The sequence below is a fragment of the Homo sapiens genome, chromosome 13, assembly GCF_000001405.40.
Source record: "Homo sapiens chromosome 13, GRCh38.p14 Primary Assembly".
In the NCBI taxonomy this organism is placed as follows: Eukaryota; Metazoa; Chordata; class Mammalia; order Primates; family Hominidae; genus Homo; species Homo sapiens.
Genome location: NC_000013.11, coordinates 104,872,975 through 104,898,076, shown reverse-complemented (window position 1 = coordinate 104,898,076; position 25,102 = coordinate 104,872,975). Strand labels below are relative to the sequence as shown.

Sequence of the window (25,102 nt, the reverse complement as noted above, 5' to 3'; positions counted from 1 at the left end):
TAAGCACAGATTTAGGGACGATTATGCAGCAGAATAGTCCTATTAATGTCCTATTATTTTGCTCTACTCAACTGTAATTGAGAAAATGTCATTCAGGTCTTGTATTGGTCCGTTTTCACACTGCTATAAAGACATACCGGAGACTGGATAATTTCTATAGAAAAGAGGTTTAATTGACTTATAGCTGCACAAGGGTGGAGAGGCCTCAGGAAACATATAATTATGGCAGAAGGGGAAACGGCATGTCTTATATGGCAGCAGGCAATAGAGAGAATGCAAGAGCAGGGAAAACTGACTTACAGAACCATCAGATCTCATGAGAACTCACTCACTATCATGAGAACAGCATGGGGAAAACCACTCCCATGAACCAATCACCTCCCACCAGATCCCTCCTTGACATGTGGGGATTATGGCGATCACAATTCAACATGAGATTTGGGTGGGGACACAGAGCCAAACTGCCAAACCACATCAGGTCTCTTCCACCTAAATTAGCATTTTGCTCTTGCAAACAATCAGCTAGAAAGTTCAACCTAAATGTCACAAATTTAATATAAACAAACCAATGAACAAAATGAGGCCATATATATATGGTATATATATAGGTAGAGATATATATATATATATATATATACACAAAAATACATATTTTGGATTCAAGTAAATATGTTCATTTAAATGGGCATTCATGATTCATGCATAGTGAATTATATTCTAATCCAGAGCATGCTTTTGTTTTTTTCAGTCTTTTTGCTCCATGGATTCTGGCATGATGTGCCTTGAACAGAAAGGATAAAACTACTGCTCCTTTTATTCCATGAATTCCAAAACACAAGTACAGAAAAATAGCTCTCTAACATCAGCCATATGAACATGATACTGGGTGTGTGGGCACTGACAGATACACAAGCCCCAGCTCAGTATATGACTCTTGATTCTGGGTGTGACCCAGAGCTGCAGAGAGAGCACCTTTCATTGTCTGGCTCCAATCTCCTTGAGTGATGACCCTCTTCCATTCCTAACTACCACCTACATGTACTGATGACTCGGAACATTACCTTCAACCCATACACCTCTTAGAAATATGCTCATCTTGTTAGTAACAAGATAACATCTTAACCTTGTTATCGAACAGAAATTGATATTATCATCCTGCCCCCAAATCTGTTTAATGTCTTCTCTTCTTTGTTCCCTGTGTTATTTATTGGCATCAAGAAACACATGCAAATGATTTTTAAAACTTTTAAAACTAATTTTTGATTTGTTTATAAATTGTACTATTTCCACCTCTTACTCATGGCTAAAATATGTCACCATCTCCATTTTATTTTTCTTTAAGTTTCAGAGACAGGGGCCTCCCTATATTGCCCGGGCTGGTCTCTAAATTCTGGCCTCAAGCAATCCTTCCACCTCATGCTTGCAGCTGGAATTACAGGTGCAAGGCACCATACCCAGCGCTGTGCCCATATTGATTGTAGAGTTCTGTTAAAACTATTTAACAGCACACAAAATCCTTTATAATTAGACCCTTCTATTTATCTGGTATTTTCAACAACTTTACTACAAACAAGATCATAATATAATAACATCAAATTATCAACCTATTAATCTATTAAGCACAAATGTGTTAGAGCAGGTTTTTATATCACTGGCGAAACATTTGGATTTTCTCTTCTATGAACTGTCTTATCATGGCCGTTTTCAATTTTATTATTGGGTGACTTTTTCCTTCTTTTAAAACCTCTGTTCATTATGAATTTTTCCTTCTGGCTAAACTCTATATTAAATTTATGTTTTCCCAAATCTACTGAATGTCTGTTGACTTTGTTTATAGAGTGTTTCCCATGAAAAGTTTTATTTGTATATAGTCAAGCATATCATTCCTTTATTTTATTGCATCTAGATAGAAGACTTAGTTACTTAACTCTTTCCTTGTCTTAGTTTTTAATTTATTCAAGATTTCCTTAATGAGTATCTATGGTTTTATTTCTTACCCTTTAAGTATTTATTCCAACTGAACTCCTCCCCGCTTTTTGGAAAAATATGTTTCCAATTTTATTTTTTAAAACAATAGTAAGTACTAACTTGTGCTATCTCCAAGCTTTAAATCATCCTCTCTTACCCTACTAAATTGAAATAGCAACGTTATCATGTATTACATTCTTATGTAACCTGGAATCTATTTTCTGGATTTTCTATTCAGTTCAAATCTATTTGTCTTTTTCTATAGCCACACAATATAGATTTAATTTCCACGAGTTTTAAATTATGCATGTATCTCCTAATTCAAGTTCCTGTTGCTGTTCTTAATATAAACTTTTTCTCATGTTTCCTCTGGCTGGATTCCCTTTCCACAGCTGGGATAAGGCTCTCACAAAGTCCTTTTCCCTGGAGAGAAGGTCTATGTTATGGAGAAGGTTCTCAGTATATTTCACACAGATTGATATTCCTCTGCTTTTCCCAGAGCTTTAATGAGCTCTTTCTAGAATTTTTATCCTGAGAATCTACTAGGGTTCTGGATAGTAAAACCTAGGAATGTGTGTTTATCAATGTCGCCTACCCCCGGCCCTGTGCAAAGACTTCAGCCACCAGGACGTTCTCAGTCTCATGTTTTTCTACATTTAGTTTCCAGTAATTACTCAACACTGCCATTAAATATTCCAGCTTCAGCCTCAGCAGTTTTTGCAACAGGCAAGCAGATCTAAGCTATGTCTCTCTCTTGGGCTGTACCCATCTCTCCAGATTTCAGGGTGCCAGTTTGCTCTGTGACTTCAGTTCTTTGTTGAGAAAAAAAAAAGTCACTGATTTTCCGATTAACCAGTTTTGCTTGTGTAAAAACCAAAGTAATGACTTCCAAATTCTTTATATGGCAGAAGTGGGGCTGAAAGTCTCATGAATTTTCCTGAACACAACCTTACCAAAAATCCTCTTTAGTAAACTTTTAAATTAATCAAATGTGTAGACTCTAAGTGTATACCAGAACTGAACAATTATATAAATGGATGGCAGATGGTGAGGGCCTGGTTTCTCACTGTTGGGGTGGTTATTTACAGACAAGCAAAAAGTGGAGGTTAAAATAATCCAAGTGGTATGGACTAGAGTTAGAGACATCAGCATGAACTCTCATGTTTAGTTAAATATAGATACAGATGGTTACATACAGAAATATTTATACATATGTGTATATGCACAGTTAGGATGCACACATATTTTTCCTTGCCCTGTCAGCTGAGAAGCTCTAGAAGCAATCATATCACCATAGCAATGAGCATACCTAATATATTGGTTTCTAATATCATTTTCCTATAAAAGGAGTCAGGGATCCTTGCAGAAATGACACATTTTTGGACAGAGGCAGCAAACATACAAGATGATCCTGAAGTATCTTGTAATATCTGAAGATAAGAAAGCAAAAAACCAAACCAATAAAACCCCACACACGCTGATGAGAATAAATCAACAGGACACAGGAACCCAATGAAGGAGCACCTAAAGGCCAAATCTGCAACAATTTGAGACAACAAAATAAATGACGTAGCACTGCATTATAATGCAAAATATGAAATAAATATCCATGAGCACGAACTCCTCTAAATACATTATTAAGTAACTACATAAGTGGTAAAAAGTAAATACTTTATGCAGAAGATCTCCAAATATTTTATACAGATGTTACAAGGGTGGAGCATATAGGAGGTCAAATATAAATTTCCATTTTTAAAACGAGGGCTGCGTCTCTAATCCCAGCACTTTGGGAGGCCGAGGCGGGCAGATCACGAGATCAAGAGATCGAGACCATCCTGGCCAACATGGTGAAACCCTGTCTTTATTAAAAATAAAACAATTAGCTGGGCATGGTGGCACGTGCCTGGTGGCACGTGCCTGTAGTCACAGGTACTCAGGAGGCTGAAGCAGGAGAATCGCTTGAACCCAGGAGGCAGAGGTTGCAGTGAACCGAGATCGCGCCACTGCACTCCAGCCTGGCCAGAGAGCAAGAATGTCAAAAAAAAAAAAAAAAAAAAAAAAAAGTGGGCTGCATATAGTGAATTTCTTCCAAGGGATACAGTATGGAAAGGGAAAAGGGGTGGCGTGACAGTGGAAAAACTTGGCAAACACCACTTCAGCCAAACAGAGTTTAACATCTACAGTGATAAGACTTTTTGATAGTAAACATCTTTAATATGATATGTTGAAAACACATGACATGATGTGAGACTTTAACTCAATGGTCTTCTTCCAAAGAACATGTAATTTCATTCTAACCATTAGACAAACATCAGACACATCCTAGTTGAGGGACACTCTACACAATGCCAGATGAGCACTCCTCAAACTCTCATGGTCATTGAAAACAAGCAAAGTCTAAGAAACTCCCACAGCTAAGAGTTGCCTAAGAAAACAGTACAGTTAAAGTGTCATGAATAGGATTCTTCCTAGAATAGAAAAAGAACGTTAGATGATAACTATAAAAATCTGAATAAAGTATGGTTGTTACTTAATAATAATGTCTCATTTTTAATTCATCAATTGCAACAAATAAACCATTCTAATACAGTAAGCTAATAATAGGGTAAACCATGTGAGGTATGTGGAAACCCTACTATCTTCATAATTTTTCTATGCATTTAAGATTTTTTAAAACATAAAATTTTAAAAAATTGTGGCTGGGTGCGGTGGCCGATGCCTTTAATCCCAGCACTTTGGGAGGCCGAGGCGGGCGGATCATGAGGTCAGGAGATCAAGACCATCCTGGCTAAAATGGTCAAACCCCGTCTCTACTAAAAATACAAAAACTTAGCCGGGCGTGGTGGCGGGCGCCTATATTCCCAGCTACTCGGGAGGCTGAGGCAGGAGAATGGCGTGAACCCGGGAGGCGGAGCTGGCAGTGAGCCCAGATCCCGCCACCGCACTCCAGCCTGGGCGACAGAGCAAGACTCCGTCTCAAAAAAAAAAAAAAAAAAGAAAAAAAGAAAAAAAAATTGTATATGAAATTCCAATAAATGCAAACAGGTATAAATATGTCCGTAGCAAACAGTAATACTTGTAAAAATGTAGAAATTTATAAAAATAAATAGTTATTTCCTCAGCTCACCATCAACTACAGAAGTAGCTTTTCATTCACAAATATTTCCATGAAATTCTCAGTTTTCCCAAGAGAATTCCACTTTCTCTGCCATGCTCAACTCTGAATTGAAGAATGATATCTTGCACTAACATGATAATTCAGGAAAACCATGTGCTCAGAACTTTCCAGGTAGTAAAATCTCACTGCCACTCAATATCTCTCAAATTCTTACCAGAGTGAAACAATACTTCTGTATCCCCCCGGTGGTATAAAATTTATTTATCCTGCTAAATAATCTATTGTTGACCTTAATATTTTTCTGATTATGATCTCTTGCTTATTCACTAGAACACTGTAACTACATTACATTTAATGACTTTTTTCATTTTGTAGACCATAAAAACATTAAAACAAACAAACAAACAGAGATCATTAAGATAAGATCCGGCAACCCCACATCCAACTATCCCTGGGTGTTGATCAGTTATGATGGCTTTTTGGAGCTCTATATCAATTGCCTGTTTAAGAGTTATATTATTTTGAATTTCTCTTTGGCTTGACTTTTTTCAAGGATAATAGAAGAAACAGCAACGTTACACACTTATCAGTTTCTGCTGTAATGGTGTTTCCTTGAGGATACTGTACATTCTATTACAGAGTGTCCTCATCCTCAGAGCTCCTGAGGGAATGATCTTTATATTTGTAATGTCAGGAAGTGGGGGAATGAGGAATGGGAATGCATGCTAAATTCCTGATCTTATTTTTAGGAAGGAGTCAAAAGTTATTATATATACCTTAAATTTGGTTCTGTTTGGAAATTGGGGTAAAGGTAATACTTTGGGGAATATAAAAGTGATTTTTGTACAATGTAATAAAAACAGGATGGATCTTTTTTTGTTGGAGAAAAGAAAATTAAATATTATATATAAGCAAAAAAATAATAAACAAAGTAATTTAAAAATAAGATAACATAAAACTTTCATATGAATTACAACAGAAATGGGTTATTTTTAATAAGAAGCAGGGGATTTCATGAGGCAGCCATGCTTTTTGTGTGTTAGAAATGTCTTATTTATTGTTCTGACTGGTAATTACATGGGCACATTTACTTGAGCTGCACACTTGTGATTTGGGCTCTTAATCTATTTTTATCTATATCTATTTTAATAAAGCTCTTTTTTAAGACAAGTGTATATAACATATAGTAGACACATTAAACACAAGAGATTTTTTTTTTCTTTTTCCTTTAACTTTTATTTTAAGTTCCGGGTACCTGTGCAGGATATGTGGGTTTGTTACATAGGTAAACGTGTGCCATGGTGGTTTGTGGCACAGATTATCTCGTTGTCTAGTTATTAAGCTCAGCATCCATTAGCTATTTTTCCTGCTGGTCTCCCTCCCCCTGCCCCAAAGCTGACATGCCCCAGTGTGTGTTGTTTCCCCCTTCATGTGTCCACGTGTTCTCATCACTCAGCTCCCACTTGTAAGTAAGAATATGTGGTGTTTGGTTTTCTGTTCTTGCATTAGTTTGCTGAGGATAATGGCTTCCAACTCCATCCATGATATTTTTAAAAGTAAAGGGTTGTGCAAATATATGCCAGGCAAAGGAAAGATTGGCTATATTCATATTAGAATATAGAAATTTAAAAGGAAAGGTATTAAATGAGATCTAGAGGGCATTTTGTAAAAGATACAATCCACACAGAATAAATATTCATGAGTGTATGTAGCAATTTATATATATATTTTAAAAATGTATCATACATAAAAGGAGAAATTGACAGAAATATGTATTAGGAGGGCCTTTTACACAGTGCTCTTTCAAAAATCAAGTAAACAAAAATAATGAGAATTTGAGTAACTGATCATACTGAAATCATATATATAAAGTATATACTTGCAGAATAGTTAACATATCTTTTTTGCAACAATCAGTGAAGCACTTGTCCAGTTTGCCATATTCTATGCAACCTCAATTTTCTCAAGACAAAAACTGTGCAGAATAGTCTTTGCCTATAATGCAAATAAGACTAAGAATTAATAAATGTATTTTTTTAAATAACCATTTATAATTTCTGAAAACTGTTAAGATACAAATTGGGACAAAAAATAAAACTGTGTCTATAGAAAATTTATGCATGTTACAGAATAAAAACAGGAAATGCTGTATATCAAAACAAAGTGTATGGCTAAATTTGGAATGAAAGGTTAATTCATGGTCTTACACATTTAGCAAAACTCTGATACTACAAACTGACAAAAAGTACAGTAGAAGTGGTTCCACTTACCACCAATTCCAGCAGGGTGTTTGTGCTGGTGAAGTTCTGCATGAATATTTAGGCTCTGTGTGTCTAGATGTTCTTCTTCTTTGTGGGAAGACTCTTCTTGAAGGCCTGTGTTCCACCTAATTCTCACTAAATGTAAAGCCATGGTTGCTATTAGTTCATCCTGGGCTCTGCAAGTCTGTAGACCAGTGGATGAAGAAACAAAAAAGGGCACTGTTGCAGGCGTAATTGATCCCAATCATCGGGATGAGTCACAGCCATTGCTATATGATGGAGACACAGAAGAAGAAGTGTGGCACCAAGTGGTCCACCCCTAGGTATTCTTTTGTCCAGTTCCATCTTCACCCGGATAAGCAGAACAAACAGACTACGAAGTAGTGCAGGTCCCTCCAGTTTCAGGATCTAGGTGGATGAGTGTGAGGAGATCCTAGAATGAATGAGAAAGGAGGGAAATGTGTTTCAGTTATGACTTCAGGATGAACGACATCAGTGGGAGCTATAGCTTCTTTCACAAATCCTCTTTTTGGAAATTTCCCCAGAAATTGTAAGCAACCAGAACGCTGAAGAAATTGTGACCACATAAAGTGAATGTGAAAAATAAGCATTTCTGAGATAGGAATGTGAAAAATAAGCATTTCTGAGATAGGAAAGAGGGGATTATAAGGTTTGCTGTTGGTACCTAAACCAGATGCGATCCCAGAATAGGTGCACCCATGCCCAACCTGCTCTACAGATTGGATGCTAATCACCTACAGCTATGTCCTTCTCTGGAGGATTACCCTTGCCTGACAGAAGCTTCCTATCCCTGAGATGCTTGAAAGTTTCTGTCCCCACTCCCGACTCCCAGGGCTTCCTCATATTCCATGACTTACGGATGCTGGTCACAGAACACTATCTGAGCAGAACAAGTTCTGTGTTGCAATTTGTACTCCAGAGCTTCCTGGGAGATCTGCCTGCAGTTATTTTCCTGTTTTTGTTCTTTGAAATTACTACCTCTATAAATCTCTTACACACTATACCCGTCTCAGGCCTTTCTTTCTGTAAACTCAAAGTAAGTTGAGTATAAAATAGAATGTCCAATAAACTCAAGGTAAGTTGAGAATAAAATAGAATGTCACAACCTGAGCTCACCTATGATGGCACTACTCTAAGAAAATAATTATCCAGTTATAAAAGAAAGTACTAGAAAATCTATTAATACATCAATTTTTGAAAAGTAATTTCAATAACTGAAGAAAGGTATTCAATAACATATAACTAGAATCAAGAGTATGGTCCACCTAGTCAAACACTCCTCTCATATATGCAGTAAAATACTAGAGATGTTTCCATAAAAATATCTGCTGTCACCATTATTTAATATACTTCCTGGATTTCTGGGAAGATCACAAAGAATAAAAAAGAAGTATGGAACAAAACTAGTAAAAATGATGGGAGCAAATTTTTCTTGTGTTAATAATCAAGTAGATTCTATATCAGAAAATAAACCGTAAAATTAGCGAGTGCAATAAAATGTTCAGATGAAGAAAAATTAAAGATTAATACATATGGAAAATATGGCAATAACTAGTTTGAACAATAATAAAGAAATATATTTTGTTTACAATAATATTTTTGATATAGAAAGTCATAGAAAGTTAATTATTAAAAATATAAAAGCCCATATGAGCAAAAACTGCAAAACATTATTGAAAGACATACACACTATTTATGAAATCCAGTGTAGAGATGACATATATCCTAATAAGGAGACTAAATGTTATAATAACAAAGTTAAATTTCTTTCTAAATTAATGATTATCCAAAAAATAAAATTATTCCATTATTGTTTTCTTTTATTTTAGGACAGCATGGTACAATTTTTCTAAAGTGCATCCAGAAGAATCAACAGAAAATTTTGTTATTGTCTAGAGCAATGCTTTGGACTTTCCTTATGTATTTGCTTATTCATATATTTCAATATAATTTGAAGTAATAAAGCAAAGTGATACTTGTACAAATATCAATAGACAGTTGAAAGGCATAAAAGAAACAAAAAGGAAGAAACAGAGGGAATATATTCATCCTTTTTTCACACTGCCATAAAGAACTGCCCGAGATTGGGTAATTTAAAAAGGAAAGAGGTTTAATTGACTCATAGTTCAGCATGATTAGGGAGGCCTCAGGAAATTTACAATCATGGGGGAAGGCAAAGGGGAAGCAAGGCACCTTCTCCACCGGCCAGCAGGAAGGAGAATGAACTAGGAGGAAATAACTAACACTTATAAAACCATCATATCTTGTGAGAACTCACTCACTATCACAAGAACAGCATGGGGGAAACTGCCCCATTATTCAGTTACCATCCCCTGGTTTCTCCCTTGACACATGGGGGTTATGGAGATTATGGAGATTAGAATTCAGGATGAGATTTTGAGTGGGGACACAGCCAAATCATATCAGGGAAAGAGGGAGAAAAGGAGGAAAAAAAGAGAGAGGAAGTAAAGGAAGGGAGAAAAAAGGAAAGAAGGAAGAAAGAAAGGAAAGATAGTAGACCTTAAACAAATCCTTGTCCAGGGAGAGTTGTAGACAATAAAGAAGACATCACAAATGAGTGGAGAAGAAATCTTGGGATAACTGGTAATTTGAGATAAGTAAGACATAGATTAAGGAGTTAGAAATTCATCTTATGAGAAAAATTATTTATGATAAATAAAGAGAAAAAAGATAAAATTCTGCTTAGGCTGAGTAAAACATAGAATACTAGAAAAATATAGAAGAATATGTCACCGACCTATCATAAAAACATTTTTAAGTAAAATGCAAGGTAATATAACACAAATAAAAAACAATGTAATTGATTACCTGGAAAATAAAGCAAAAGTTTTTGCAAGGAACAAAACTCATAAACTAAGCATTAGTACAATTAACCTATCTTTTAAAAATAGCATTAATATTAACATACTAAAAGAAAAAAATACACAGCTTAAGACTACTTTTTTCAAAAAAGAACAAAATTATTGACTGAACATATGCCAATTTATATAATAGCTTTTTTAATCAAACTGCATAATTAAAATAAGAGATAACATTGTTGTATCAAATGCATTAAGGTTCAATAACATATGCACTCTTATTAAGTGATATTGTTTATATAAGTATTGCAAATTTTGTGAAAAGATAGTTGGGTATTTCTTTAAAGTTCTTTTAAGATATCATATAAAGTTGAACTTAATAACTTTACTCCCAGAAGCACATTATTATCAAAGAATAAAACATGGAAACAAAATTTAGAAACAAATTTCATATATTGATTTGATACATTTTAATTAAAAATTTTAAATGTTAATATAAGTTCAGTTGAAATTTTGATACATGTACTATGATATAACATGTGTTAATACATTTAAATATTCTTAATAAAGAATTTAAAGAACACAAAACCATATGTAGGTGAGTAGACAAAGGGAAACAAAGATGGAGATATGTAATGAAATACCAATTTGGAGATTATGTATGAATTCCATAAAGAAAATGACTAAAATTCCAGCTATACAAATATTAACATTGGCCAACTTTAGTGATATTTATTTTCTTTTTAAAACGTTTTCAAATTTTACATTTTAAATGTAAATTACTTTCACAATGAAAAAATAAATATATATTAAAATGAATGTTTAAAGAAGATATTAAGGATAGCATAGTCATTTCTTAATTATATCATTAGTTTTCTTTGACTTATAAATAATACACATGTTAACTTGGGTTATAGAGTTTAATATTTTAATTTTTCCAATAAATTGTTGAAATTACCTAGAAATGTGTATTAGGAATAAGACAGTATGCAAAGTGAATCTAATATAAATCACCCACCATAGATCTATAACACATATTCTATAGTTGTGGTGAAACAAATTGTCAAAGTCCATTATTCAAACTAACATGATATCAAAGCAGTCATGATGGTTTGATGATAAAAACTGCTTTGCTTGCAACAACACAAAACCAAACAAAACCTGCACTTCCTCTTAGGCCACAACCTGCAGAAACCTTGTCTTCTTTTTGATAACCAAATTCTACTAAAGAGATAGTCATTAAAATTCATTTTTAAGAAAAGATATTATTTTTGCATATATGAAAATTTCAGCTATAGGTAAAAAATAAAGAATATTTTTAATAATTAAAATATTCAACTAATTAGAATGTATTCATACCATCATTTGTAATATCCATTATAACTGATATTGATAAACGTTAAAAGGACAATCTAAAAAGATGCCACTAAAGTGAAGCTAAATACCACCTACTTTTATTATTAGATCACAAATGAAAAACATAACTACCACTTAGATATCAATTTACAATTTACAAAGTATCCCTCATTTTTACATTTGATCCCCTTAACAGTCCTTTGAGGTAGCTTATCCTCATCATAGAAATATTTATTATTGCATGTATTTTCAATTCATATTTTATTGTACATACACATCAAAATCGTATGTACATTACTCACACTTATGCTCAGGCAATTGTATTTAATTATCACATTCAATAAAACTAACTAAAAACTGTGTCACACTTAAATAGAAACTCATATTTATAATTTGCCAAATGTTTGCACAGTAAGTGAAAAAATTTGAGAAAATACAATTTTATAGACACATCTGCATTCTTATCAGCATGCAAAAATCTGTGACATTGGGCTGACTTCCACCAAACCAAAATTTTGTAAGCAGAAGAGAGTGTGAAGAAGGATTGATGTTTTATGAGTGTTTTAAAAAAAAAAAAAGAAATCAGGCCGGGTGCGGTGGCTTACACCTGTAATCCCAGCACTTTGAGAGGCAGAGGCGGGCAGATCACGAGGTAAGGAGTTCGAGACCAGCCTGGCCAATATGGTGAAACCCCGTCTCTACTAAAAATACAAAAATTAGCCAGATGTAGGGGTGGGCACCTCTAGTCCCAGTTACTCAGGAGTCTTGGCAGAAGAATCACTTGAACCCGGGAGGCAGAGGTTACAGTGAGCCAAGATCGCACCACTGCACTACAGCCTGGGTGACAGAATAAGACTCTGTCAAAAAAAAAAAAGTAATAAAATATCAAGGCAACAGATATTTTAAATTAAAAACTTAATTATGTCAGGTTTGTAGAAGATCAGATGGTTCTGGGTGTGTGGTCTTATTTCTGAGTTCTCTATTCTGTTGCATTGGTCTATGTGTCTGTTCTTATATCGTATAATACTGTTTTGGTTACTGTAGCCTTGTTGTGTAATCTGAACGTGGGTAGCATGATATCTCCAGCTTTGTTCTTTTTGTTTAGGATTGTCTCAGCTATTTGGGCTCTTTTTTTTGGTTTTATATGAATTTTAAAAGAGTATTTTTCTAATTCTGTGAGCAAATTCAACAGTAGCTTAATGTGAATAGCATTGAATCTATAAATTACTTTGTACAGTATGGCCATTTTCACAATAATGATTCTTCCTATATCTATGAGCATGGACTGTTTCTCCATTTGTTAGTTAGTGTCCTTTCTGATTTCTTCAAGCAGTGGTGTGTAGTTCTCCTTGAAGAGGTCTTTCACATCTCTTTTTAGCTGTATTCCTAGGTATTTTATTCTTTTTGTAGCAATTGTGAATGCGAGGTCATTAATGATCTGGCTTTTTGCTTACCTGTTGTTGGTGTATAGAAATGCTAGGGATTTTTTTGCACATTGGTTTTGTATTCTAAGATTTGCTGAAGTTGCTTGTCAGCTTAAGAAGCTTGTGGGCTGAGACGATGGGTTTTTCTAGATATAGGATCATGTCATCTGGAAACAAAGATAATTTGACTTCCTGTCTTCCTATTTTAATACCCTTTATTCATTTCTCTTGCCTGATTACCCTGGCCAGAACTTCCAATTCTATGTTGAATAAAAGTGGTGAGAGAGGACATCCTTGTCTTGTGATAATTTTCAAGGGAAATGCTTCCAGATTTTGCCCATTTAGAATGATATTGGCTGTGGTTTTATCATATATGGCTCTTATTTTGAGGTATAGTCCCTCAATACCTAGTTCATTGACAGTTTTTAACATGAAAGGATGTTGAATTTTATCCAAGGACTTTTCTGCATCTATGGACAAACCTAACAAAAGCAATGGGGAAAGGACTCCCTATTTAATAAATGCTGCTGGAAAAGCTGGCTAGCCATAAGCAGAAAATTGAAACTGGACCCCTTCCTTATACTATATTACAAAAATTAATTCAAGATGAATTAAAGACTTAAATGTAAAACCCAAAACTATAAAAGCCCTAGAAGAAAATCTAGGCAATACCATTCAAGACATAGGCACGGGTAAAAATTTCATGACAAAAATACCAAAAGCTATTGCAAAGAAAGCAAAAATTGACAAATGGGATCTAATTAAACTAATGAACTTCTGCACAGCAAAATAAACTATCATCAGAGTGAACAGACAATCTAAAAATGGGAGAAAATTTTTGCAATATATCCATCTGACAGAGGTCTAATACGAAGAGTCTAAAAAGAAGTTAAACAAATTTACAAGAAAAAAAAAAACATTAAAAAGTACCAAATGACTTGAACAGACACTTCTCAAAAGAAGGCATACATGCAGCCAACAAGCATGTGAAAATAAAAAGCTCAACATCAATGATCATTAGAGAAATGCAAATCCAAACCACAATAAGATACCATGTCCTGTGTGTCAGAATGGCTACTATTAGAAAATCAAAAAACCACAGGTGCTGGTGAGGCTGCAGAGAGAAAGGAGACCTTTTACACTGTTGTTGGGAGTATAAATTAAACCATTTTGGGAGTATAAATCAACCATTGTGGAAGACCGTGTGGCGATTCCTCAAAGACCTAGAGGCACAAATACCATTTGACCCAGCAATCTCATTACTGGATATATAACCAAAGGAATATAAATCATTCTATTATAAGGATACATGCACACATATATTCATTGCAGCAATATTCACAATAGCAAAGACATGGAATCAACCTAAATCCCCATCAATTATAGACTGAATAAATAAAATGTGGTACATATACATCATAGAATACTATGCAGACATAAAAAGGAATGAGATCATGTCCTTTGCAAGGACATAGATGGAGTTGGAAGCCATTGTCCTTAGCAAACTAATGCAGGAACAGAAAACCAAACACCACATGTTCTCAGTTATAAGTGGGAGCTGAATGATCAGAACACACGGACATATGGAGGGGAACAACACACACTGGGGCCTGTTGGAGAGGGAAGTGGGGAGGGAGAGCATCAAGAAGAATAGCTAATGGATGCTGGGCTTAACACCTAGGTGATGCAATGATCTAGGCAGCAAACCACCATGGCATATGTTTACTTATGTAACAAATCTGCACATCCTACACATGTACCCCTGAACTTAAAATAAAAGTTGAAGAAAAAAAAAATAGGAGAAAAAAACAGACTTAATTCTAACATGCAGTTTACAGGAAAAAAAATAAAATTCCCAAATCACCTCTCTTTAATCTTCCAGAAAAAAAAAAAAAGTTTCTTTCTTCCTTCAACTACTCAACAATACTAGTTTCTGAACATTTAGAATAAATAACAAATGCAATTTGATTTAATACTAGTGATCCCGCTTTTGACATATATTTGAGTTTATTTTCATTGGTTTTATTAGGCCTCTCAGTGTTGTCTGGGATTTTTGGAAATCACTGGTGTAATAACATCCAGTTGAAATAATAACATTACCATCAATTGTCTCCATTGTCTATGAAAGTCTAATGCAATACAAAAAGGGTAAGTTATGTGGTTTGCAGTTTCAGGTTTTAAGGATTGACCAGGGATCACATAATCTCCTTTGCTCAAAATCAGGATCAACCATTTCAATTGAAATGACCAACTCTGGCCAACTGAAATGACCCACTCTGGACTATGGATGTGATTGTTTCACTGTATTAACAAGATATTGAGAATTAGTATTATTTTCATTTTAGTGTCCACAAATTACATATTTTATGAGAAAGAGAGGGTCCCTGCTAGAGAAATTAGAGAAGTTCTATGGCAATTTTCATCATAACTTTGAGGACACTTTAAAAGGTCTAATGCATTGCATTTTAAAAACACTTGAAGATTTTGTAGCTTGTAGTATCATTCCATAGCATTCTAAGTATTTTTTTTGGAGCAAGCAAGAATTTAAAGAAGAACTTCTTGACAAAAACTTAAAAATCTTTAATAAAAATATAATTTTTATGGTTTAATCTTAAACAAGCATGATTTATTTACTTCTAAGTAAAGTTGTTGGGTGATTATATAACTACATTAAGGACACGATAAAATTCAACTTAATTGTACTTAGAAGAAATCAACAGTCTTTGCATCTGCTGAAAACATGAAAGTAAAATATTATTGCTGAAGGCATCTAATATCCAGGGAACAGTCATTAAGTTATAAAGAAAATTAAGATGAATCAAAAAAGGAAAAATATTCAGAAGGGAGAAAAATATAAATGCTTAAACTGAATAATAATAAATCCATGTTTCAAATTCCCTTTATCAATGTTGAAAATAAATTGCTAATCAAAATTCATAGTAATATAATATCATATGAATACATTATTTTTACGTTAATATATTCAAATCCTAATGGCTGCCACATATTTCACTACTATCATTTCAGTATAAGTCATTTGATACTATATCATTTATGATAAATATGCTATTTTAACATGCTAATCATCTAGCTGACCATTCTGTGAAATCAGTTCATTGACTTTGTCATGTCTCTAAACTCATGTGTTTCCTTTATCTAATGTTGTTTAATTATAAATTCAAGTTATATTCAGGAAGTCCACGTTCCAAAAATTGTATTTTTATCCAGACACCAAATTTTAGTGTTGAGTAACTGATAGGGGCTCAATCATTTAACCTAAAACACAGAAATACCATGTCAAAAGAAAAAGAAAAAACAGAATTTGATATATGTTTATTGAGAATAACAGTAAATTAGTTTAGTGCGATAAACCAATATTTGAAGCCCAGTAGAAATGTTAACAGATGAGAAATATTTTATATTATTAGAAATTTATAGCAGAATAGTTAGTAACACAGGCCCACACCACGTAACGATATTTCAGTCAACAGACCATGTACACAACAGTAGTCTCATAGAATATAACGAAGCTGAAAATTCCTATTGCCTAGTGATATTGTAGCCATTTTAAGGTCATAGGACAATGAATTACTCATGTTTCATGGTGGCACTGGTATAAACAAATCTATTGCACTTAAAAGTCTAGTACGTATAATTATGCACAGTATGTAATATTTGATACTGATAATAGACAATTATATTAAGGATTTATATATTAACAGTATTATACTGTTTACCTTTTAGAGTGTATTCCTTTTATTTATATAAAAAAAAAAACTGTAAAACAGCCTCAGACTGGTTCCTCAGGAGGTATTCCAGAAGAAGATACTGTTATAGGAGAGGACAGCTCCATGTGTGTTTCTGACCCTGAAGACCTTCCAGTAGGACAAGATGTGGAGGTGGAAGACCGTGACATTGATGATCCTGACCCTGTGTAGGCCTAGGCTAATGTGTGTGTTTGTGTCTTAGCTTTTAACAAAAAATGTTTATAAAGTAAGATAAAAAATTAAAATATAGAAAGCTTTATAGAATAAGAGTATAAACAAAGAAAATATTTTTATACAGTTGTACAATATGCTTGCATTTTAAGCTGCGTCATTACAAGGGCCAAAACGTTAAAAAAATTAAAAAATTTATAAAGTAAAAGTTATAGAAGCTAAGGTTAATTTATTATTGAAGATAAATTATTTTGTATAAATTAAGTGTACAGTATTTACAAAGTCTGCAGTAGTATACAGTACTGTCCTAGCCCTTCACATTCACCCACTGCTCACTCACTCACTCACCCAGAGCAACTTCCCATCCTGCAAGCTCCATTCATGATAAGTGTCCTACACAGGTGTGCCATTTTTAACCTTTTCTACCATATATTGTTTGTTACTTTTCTATGTTTACATATGTTGAGATACATATACAGTGGCCATTCTTTTACAATTGCCTCCTAGACTCAGTACAGTAACATGCTGTACAAGTTTGTAGCCTAGGAGTAATAGGCCATACCCTATAGCCTAGGTGTACTATGCTATCCCATTTAGGTTTGTGTAAGTACACTCTATGATGGTTGCAAAATTGCCTAACGACACACTTCTCAGAAGGTATCCCTGTTGTTAAGAAACACGTGATTGTACACTTTTAGAAGCTGGCAAAACTGAACACTAAATTGCCTTTTACACACTATATGCTTACATTGTAAGATGAGTAAATTTTTATGAATATCACAATAAAAATAATAATCTTGCTTAAGATGTTACAAAGAATAAAATCCCCTTCTTTTCTCGACTCAAGAACGATGTGTACCTCATTCAGATAAAGTAGCTCTCAGATCAGCTCTGCTGCAGACTATTTTTTCTTTTTCTTCTGAACCATTAAAAGTATGGCACACACATGATACATATCTCCAAAATTTTTGACATGAATATCCTACAAATAGGACATTGTTTTTATAACACAATACCATTACCACGTTGAAGAAAATTAACATTATTTCTACAACATAATCTAATATATGCTGGATAATTCTAGTTTTTTTCTTTTGTCCTGAGTCTTTCATGTCTTTTTGTTGGTTTGTTTTTTATCTAGAATTCAATAAATGTTTACACACTTATCTGGGTTGCTTATCTTTAGTTCCTTTTTTAAAAATTTTTTAATCTCAACAGCCTCTTTAGCTCTTCTCTCTATAATAGGGGAAGTTTGGATGATTCCTGTTCCAGTTTTGTTGTTAAATACACAGCAATCATATGTTGATGTGTTTCCTGGAGACCAGCTCATGTTACACATTTCATAGTAACATACCATAAGTCTTGTGGCACCGCTCACCACATATTGTCAGGAGGCATTCCATGTGTTCACATTTTAGGAGGTAATAAATTGCATGAAGGTGGTCACCATCAGATTGTTTCATAGTAAAGGAACCTATTTTACTTTGAAATTGATACTTATATTTTGGTGGAACACTTTGAGACAATTTGAGTACTCTGTTCTCCAACCACCTGTCACCCAACTGAAGATCGTTGCCTGAAGCAATTTCACACTGAAAGTTAGTTCTAAAATGAAGAGATTCCAACTGTATCATGTCTTCTTTATTTATTACCCAGCATTTTCTGTAAAATTTTCCTTCTTTCTTTTCTTCTTATATGTCTAAAACTTTTAAGTTATCCCTATAGTCATTATTTTTCATATTAAATATGTTTAACACATTACCATGTTATTCATTTCCATAAACAAATAAATGAAGCTTGCATTTTCACTTGAAAATGGAAATATTAGACCTGGAATCATGTATTTCTCCGAGTAGCAGGCTCTGGTTCATTTAGTAGAAATGAACATTGGGAAATCAAGATCTGGGCACTAGGTATGCTCTGTACTCCTGGAATCTTGCACTAGGCCCTTACAGTGGCCATATATATCACAAGTTCATAGTGATGCCTGCAGTGAAAAGCTACCTTCCAGCATACTTGCCATCAACTGAAATGCCTCCAGGGAAAAGCTACCTTCCAGCATACTTGCCATCAACTGAAATGCCTCCAGGGAAAAGCTACCTTCCAGCATACTTGCCATCAAATGAAATGCCTGCAGTGAAAAGCTACCTTCCAGCATACTTGCCATCAAATGAAATGCCTGCAGTGAAAAGCTACCTTCCAGCATACTTGCCATCAAATGAAATGCCTGCAGTGAAAAGCTACCTTCCAGCATACTTGCCATCAAATGAAATGCCTGCAGTGAAAAGCTACCTTCCAGCATACTTGCCATCAGCTGAAGCACTTGAGTTGTTTGCTACTCCCTTCTCACCAGGTCCAATAAGCATAAGCATAATATCATCCCTGAAATGCTGTAATGTTTGGTAGAGTATGAACATTTTTAAAGTTCCTGCAGGCTGCATCACGATTGAGAGCAAAAAAGTTTAAGTAGACCTGCAATAAAATACTGAAGGTGTACGGCTGCCCTGTGAAATAAAGACAAATTGCTTCTGATTATCTCCCTGAATTTTGGTAGAAAACAGATTCGTTAGGTGAATAGATGCATACAGAGTCTCGGCAAGCAGAGCAAAGATATAAGATCAAAATAACAACTGTAATTTATCAGCATCTGATTAAGTGGACAAATATCCAATTTCACTTTACAAGACCTCTCTATCTTCTACAGTGGCCAAATACAGAGTTAAAAAATGAGGATGCAATAGGAATCTCTACACTCCTAGCTTGCAAGTCTTCGTTAGTGGCACTAACATCTACAATCCCTCCCCAGTGCAATATTGTTTTTAATATAATGTTTTAATGAAGGGTTAGGAAACAATTATTTCTACCTTAATAGCCCTCACTCCATGATCAAGGAAGCCTGTGAGTAGCTGTACATAAGTAAGTGTATTTATATCTCCTTTACATATTCTGAGATTAAGAAAATAACCGTAGAATGGACTCAGGTCAAGACTCACTCAATCTCTATAAATTACAGAGTGGCCACTTTGTGTCTTTATTGATGAAGATTTTTATCTTTAGGTATTAATGTTAGTTCAGATTTAACATCTACTGATCTCTAGATTGTTTATTTCTCCTACCAAAATACTGACACCTTCATCAATGGCCACCACATCCACTAATAATGTTTTACTGAAGATTCAGTGCGTACATATGTGGCTTTGTTTCCTTTTTTTTTTTTTCCAAAAAGACAAACTCTCCTTCAATCAAGGAGCTCTGTGTCTGTAAACAGGCATTGTCTGACACCTAGGTAAGAGGCTGAGATTCCCCACTGTAATTCTTCCGCTTGGATTTCTCCCCGTCAAACATGGACCTTTTTGCTTGTATAGGCAGGAGTTATCTTAGTAAACTGCAATATGTTTCATTCCTCTGGGTTCATTCATAGGGGTTATTTAGTCACAAGTGATCACTGAATTTCACAATGCTTTTATTATTTCTATGTCTCCATTACTTTTCACAGTAATAGTGCTCTGTCTTTCACTGTTAGGAATCACCATTTGATCTTTATTACTCTTCTTCCATTGAAATCAAACAGCCAAATTCCACAGTGCTTCTCGTCCATGATCTCCCATCTACACAGAGTAGGATAATGTGGTAATAAAGTAGCTGGGCTGGTTCCACATAATCTACCCATTCCAAAATTCTGAGCCAGGAAACTTCTGGTATTTCAAACCTGTCTCTTTAGAGAACCACATACTTCAGGTTTCAATTAACCAGCCTCTCAGGTACTGGACACAGACTCTCAGGTACTGGACACTCTCAGGTACTGGACACAGTATATTAATTCTCAAATCTAGGGTCAGTGTAAGAATAGCTAATCTACTTGGCCTAATCTACTTTTAAAGTTGCTCTGCTCCATTTAATAACTTTATGGCTAATCTGTTATGCAGAGTTCTGATACTTCAACTTAGCAAGATTTTGATAATACTACAGTTCAACCTCTGGCCATAATTATTCACTTCATTCCCATGTTTTTATCCCTATCACAGTAACCCCTCAAATCTCCTCCACTTGCAAAGGCAGGCTTAGAAGCCAGGTTCTTGTGCTCTTCATCAGATTCGGATATGTCTCATTAGACATGACTCTTAATCCAGAGGCATCTAGAATAAAAAGCATTACTTGCCATCATTGTACTCATTATACAATTGTTGAATGGGCAAAACAATCCAAGTTATACAGACAGGACTGAGTTCAAGTGAGGGGAAAAGTGTAATGCTACCGTGGGCCCAACCCATGGAGAGTCTGAAGGACTGGCTCATGCTGCGGTCTCCTCCATTTTTGTGCTGCACACCTTTTTACAAAAACATTTTTTTCCTTTTTTAAAATTTAAAAACGAATACATTTTCTGGGATTGTTAAAGGCTGCAAGTAAAGATGGAAAACATTGATCTATGACCATAGGATTTGTAGTCCCCAAAAAAACCAAAGGTCCTGACTTTAATACAATGTTGTATCAGCTTACAAACAGGAAAATAAAAATCAGAAACAGTACATTATTAAGATTTAGAAAATCCTAGAAAACCCATTTATCACCATTGGGAAAATGTCTCTACCATTCCACATAAAACTTATTGAAATTGTTCCTTTGGAGCACATATATAATTTTTAATGCTTAGCAGCACTTTAGGGCTCTTTGATCTTTGATTTGACTTAAGATCTATCTTCTTAAACTTTACATTAATTAATTTAATTACTTTCAAAGCAAACAGATACTTAAAGGCTTATATGGATATAGAAACTCACATAACTTTGGCAAACAGCCAATGTAAAGGAACTTTACCATTTGTGATTCCATTTCAAAAACGTGCCAGCACTATATGACAAAGACTGTTAAAACTTCCTCAAATTACCTGAATCCTAAAACTAACATAGTATAAAATTTAAATTCTAATTCAAAAAGGTAACTTTAACTTATTCAAACAGAACCCATTGTTAACTCTCTTGTAATTGAGAATCTATAATATACGCCCAATTATCTAGTGAGAAGAACTGAAGATTAATGTCGAGAGATTATTTTTCTTTATGTGTATCCGAGCATTTAATTAAATGGGTTAGGCCAAATTATCCTGGAACTTTACAAATGAATGTAACTACAAGAGTCTCTATTTTAAATATCTTTATCTTTAAATCCAAAGTTCTTTGGATTAAATTCCATGTCTAAGATCACACAGAACGGCGGCAGAGGTGAAAGGAAACCCTAGGTAAACACACTTTCCCACAACCCCATTTAGCTTGAATTTTCAATTGAATCAGAAATAATAAACAGAAAGCCTATCTTATTAATTTCTTTCTGCAAAAGTGGTCTCTGAGAAACAAATTTTGTTACAGGGCAATAATTGGGTCCAGCATATACAGTTTAAAAAAATCAGAAGACACTGCTATATCTAGAATAAAAGACAACACAAAAGAAACTAGTAGGAATCATTAAAGATGAACTGAAATATAAATGGCTGAATTGGCACTCAATATCTTAAGGCTACTCTAGTTCACTGCAATGTCATTATGGCATTGATGAGTGTGGGAAAAGCCTAAGAAATGCTGCTAGTGTGACATTGATAGATGTGGGAAGGACACGTGAAGTTTTTCAGTCTGATAGATTTTTTTTTGAACCCATCTGCAAGGCTGCTTTACAGGAAATGACAATCTTCTCTGCTAGTTAAAGAAAATGATTGTATCTGGCCCAAAGATAGACTTTTAATAATGAAACCAGTTGTTTGTATCTATTTTCTATTGATTTTTTTTGAGAAAACATAATTATCCTAGCTGAGGAATTTTTTGCCACCTTGTGTCATTAGTTTCTCACAGCCTAAACCATTTTGGTGTGACAGATTCCACCCTCTGATTACAGCAGAAAGGAAATCACACACCTCAGCCAAGCCCACTGGCTGTGCTTCTCCCCTTTCTCCCCCCAGCTCCTGTGGCTTACTTGACTGGTCTCCAGCGGGTTACATACTCTGCCTGGCCCCCATCACCTCCACTGAGGAACTGAAGGAACAGGAAGCTGCAAATCACAGCCCAGACAGGGGGACCTGAGGAGGCCCTCCTCTCATATTTGGGTCAAATGGAGATCCACTTCAGGAAGTATCCCCTACCACTGAACTGCATGATTCCTCAATGAGTTGGGAAAGACATCAGTAAGTAGGCCCTATTCTTGCTTATGTTTGTGGAGGGTGCCTAGATCATTCTGTTTCATAAGAAGTAAAATGATCGTTTCCCCCACTGTAAATGTGCCAGGGTGCCTTTTCATTAATGTTTTGTCATTTGCTTCAACATTCAGCTGCTCGTCAGAGATTCAGTGACTAAGAACCACAACAAGGACAGAAACATTTCTCCATGCGACACTCTGTACCTATTTGCAATTTGATCTCATCCAAACAAATTTCCCTGTTGTTTCTGCTGCTATTCAGGGGAACATATAAAACAGAACCAGTCATCTCTGGGGAAGAACTAGCAAACCATTTTAGATCATGTGTAACATTGTACACCAAGCAGTAATCTATATCACTTTAATTTATCTTCCTACAAAATATATGTTACCTGCCATGTAATTAAAACTCTCCAAAGTTATCTACAATAAAACTGTAACTACCTGGGACACATACAATAAATTATAGAGAATCTTATTAAGTAATGATAATCAATTATTAATTGAATAAATTTGTGGTGAATGCCATTTAGATACTTGCGGATTTTAAAAATAACTTGAGGATTAATTAACGGGCAGTGTCATCTTATATCAATAGTACTGAAAATTTAAAAAAAAGTGTTAGAAATGTAAAACTGCAAGCCACTGTGGTTAGTTATACACTATTAATTACAGGATTTTTAAGCCCTAGAAACACTTTAATTTTGTCTTCAGACTTTAAACTGTGAGTCTCTGGGGGAGTTCTCAATACACTCTTCTAACTCTCACGTCAGCCTTATTTCATGGCCCAGTTAATCAGATTCAGATTAATGATCCTTTTTGTACCCTATAACATAAAAATTGGTCACAAGTGACAAGATATTTATTTTGAAAGCAGTCTACCAACATTCCACCTATCGAGATGTTGAAATGTATAGATAGAAATATAGATACATTGATATAGAATCAAAATCTGTATCTGTATAGGTGATTTGTGCATCTGACATACTTTCTAATTGGCTACTGCAGGGTTGAATTGATTTATTTCTCATAAGTCTGATTGCAAAAATTTCCAGGAAAATGATTTATTATAATGACAGAGATACATTGACAGTTCAATAACACTGATCAATGATACTAACCAATGGATAAATGGTAAGTGCTATGCTTTGGAATGGCATAGAGGCATTGACTACTGAAAAGCCATTCTCAGAAGTTTCCAAGTGTGAAATAGTATGTGGGTATAAATGTCAATCTCGTTGTTCATCCTTCACTTTGGAATGCAACTTCACTTTTTCATAAGTGACTCTATTTGTCACCTTCTATGCTGGAATTCATATAGCCAAGAGTGTTTTCCTTAGCACTGTTGGGTTTTCATTTTTTTAAATCCCTTTTCTAGCTAGGAAGTGATCTACCAAACCACATCTTATCATACACTTTTCTTCTTCACCTTCCTAATGGAATTGGTCAGGGAGTGCTAATTGCTATAATAATACCCTTAAAATCTCAGTGGCTAAACAAACACAATTTTACTCATCATTTACTTCTAATTCCAATAAGGGCCGATGGCTGAGTGGGGTGGAGCTTTGGGACAGATTCAAATCCCTCTAATCTAGTAACTCCACAGCCTTCTGCACCTTAGAATCCTCCTTTGCAGCCTCTACAAGCATCAAGCAGGCAATGTGGAGGGAGAGGACCAGCTCTGAAAGGGACAGACCTAATTTCCTGTCCTTTTTTAGGCTTAGAACACAGTCATTTAACCTCATTATTCCACAGGGAGGCCGCAGAATATAATCTTTCTGTGAGCCAAGAAAAAAAAAAAGTAAACAAATAGGATTATCTTTTGCATACACACACACAAAGTATTATTTCCAAGTCCTATTTTCACTTCTCTTCCTAAATCTTTACTAAAATGATATTACCCTGAAAACAGACTGTATGGGTATTAATTACTTTCAGATTTTTACTTTCTGGTTTTCTCTACCTTTCACAGTTTCTAAAAGTAATGAAAAAATAATAATAACTTTTTTTCCACTAG

General features: G+C 34.7%; 1 long non-coding RNA gene across 1 annotated transcript in view; it reads right to left on the bottom strand.

The window, feature by feature from the left end:
- Positions 1-6,781: 6,781 nt before the first annotated feature.
- LOC107984608 (uncharacterized) overlaps positions 6,782-25,102 on the bottom strand; it is a 52,829-nt gene continuing 34,508 nt past the window's right edge. Inside the window, exons 2-3 of the long non-coding RNA XR_001749997.2 lie at positions 7,357-7,780; positions 6,782-7,081 (exon numbers count right to left, since the gene is read on the bottom strand). This is a non-coding gene — a long non-coding RNA (uncharacterized LOC107984608). The remainder of the gene's footprint in view (positions 7,082-7,356; positions 7,781-25,102) is intronic.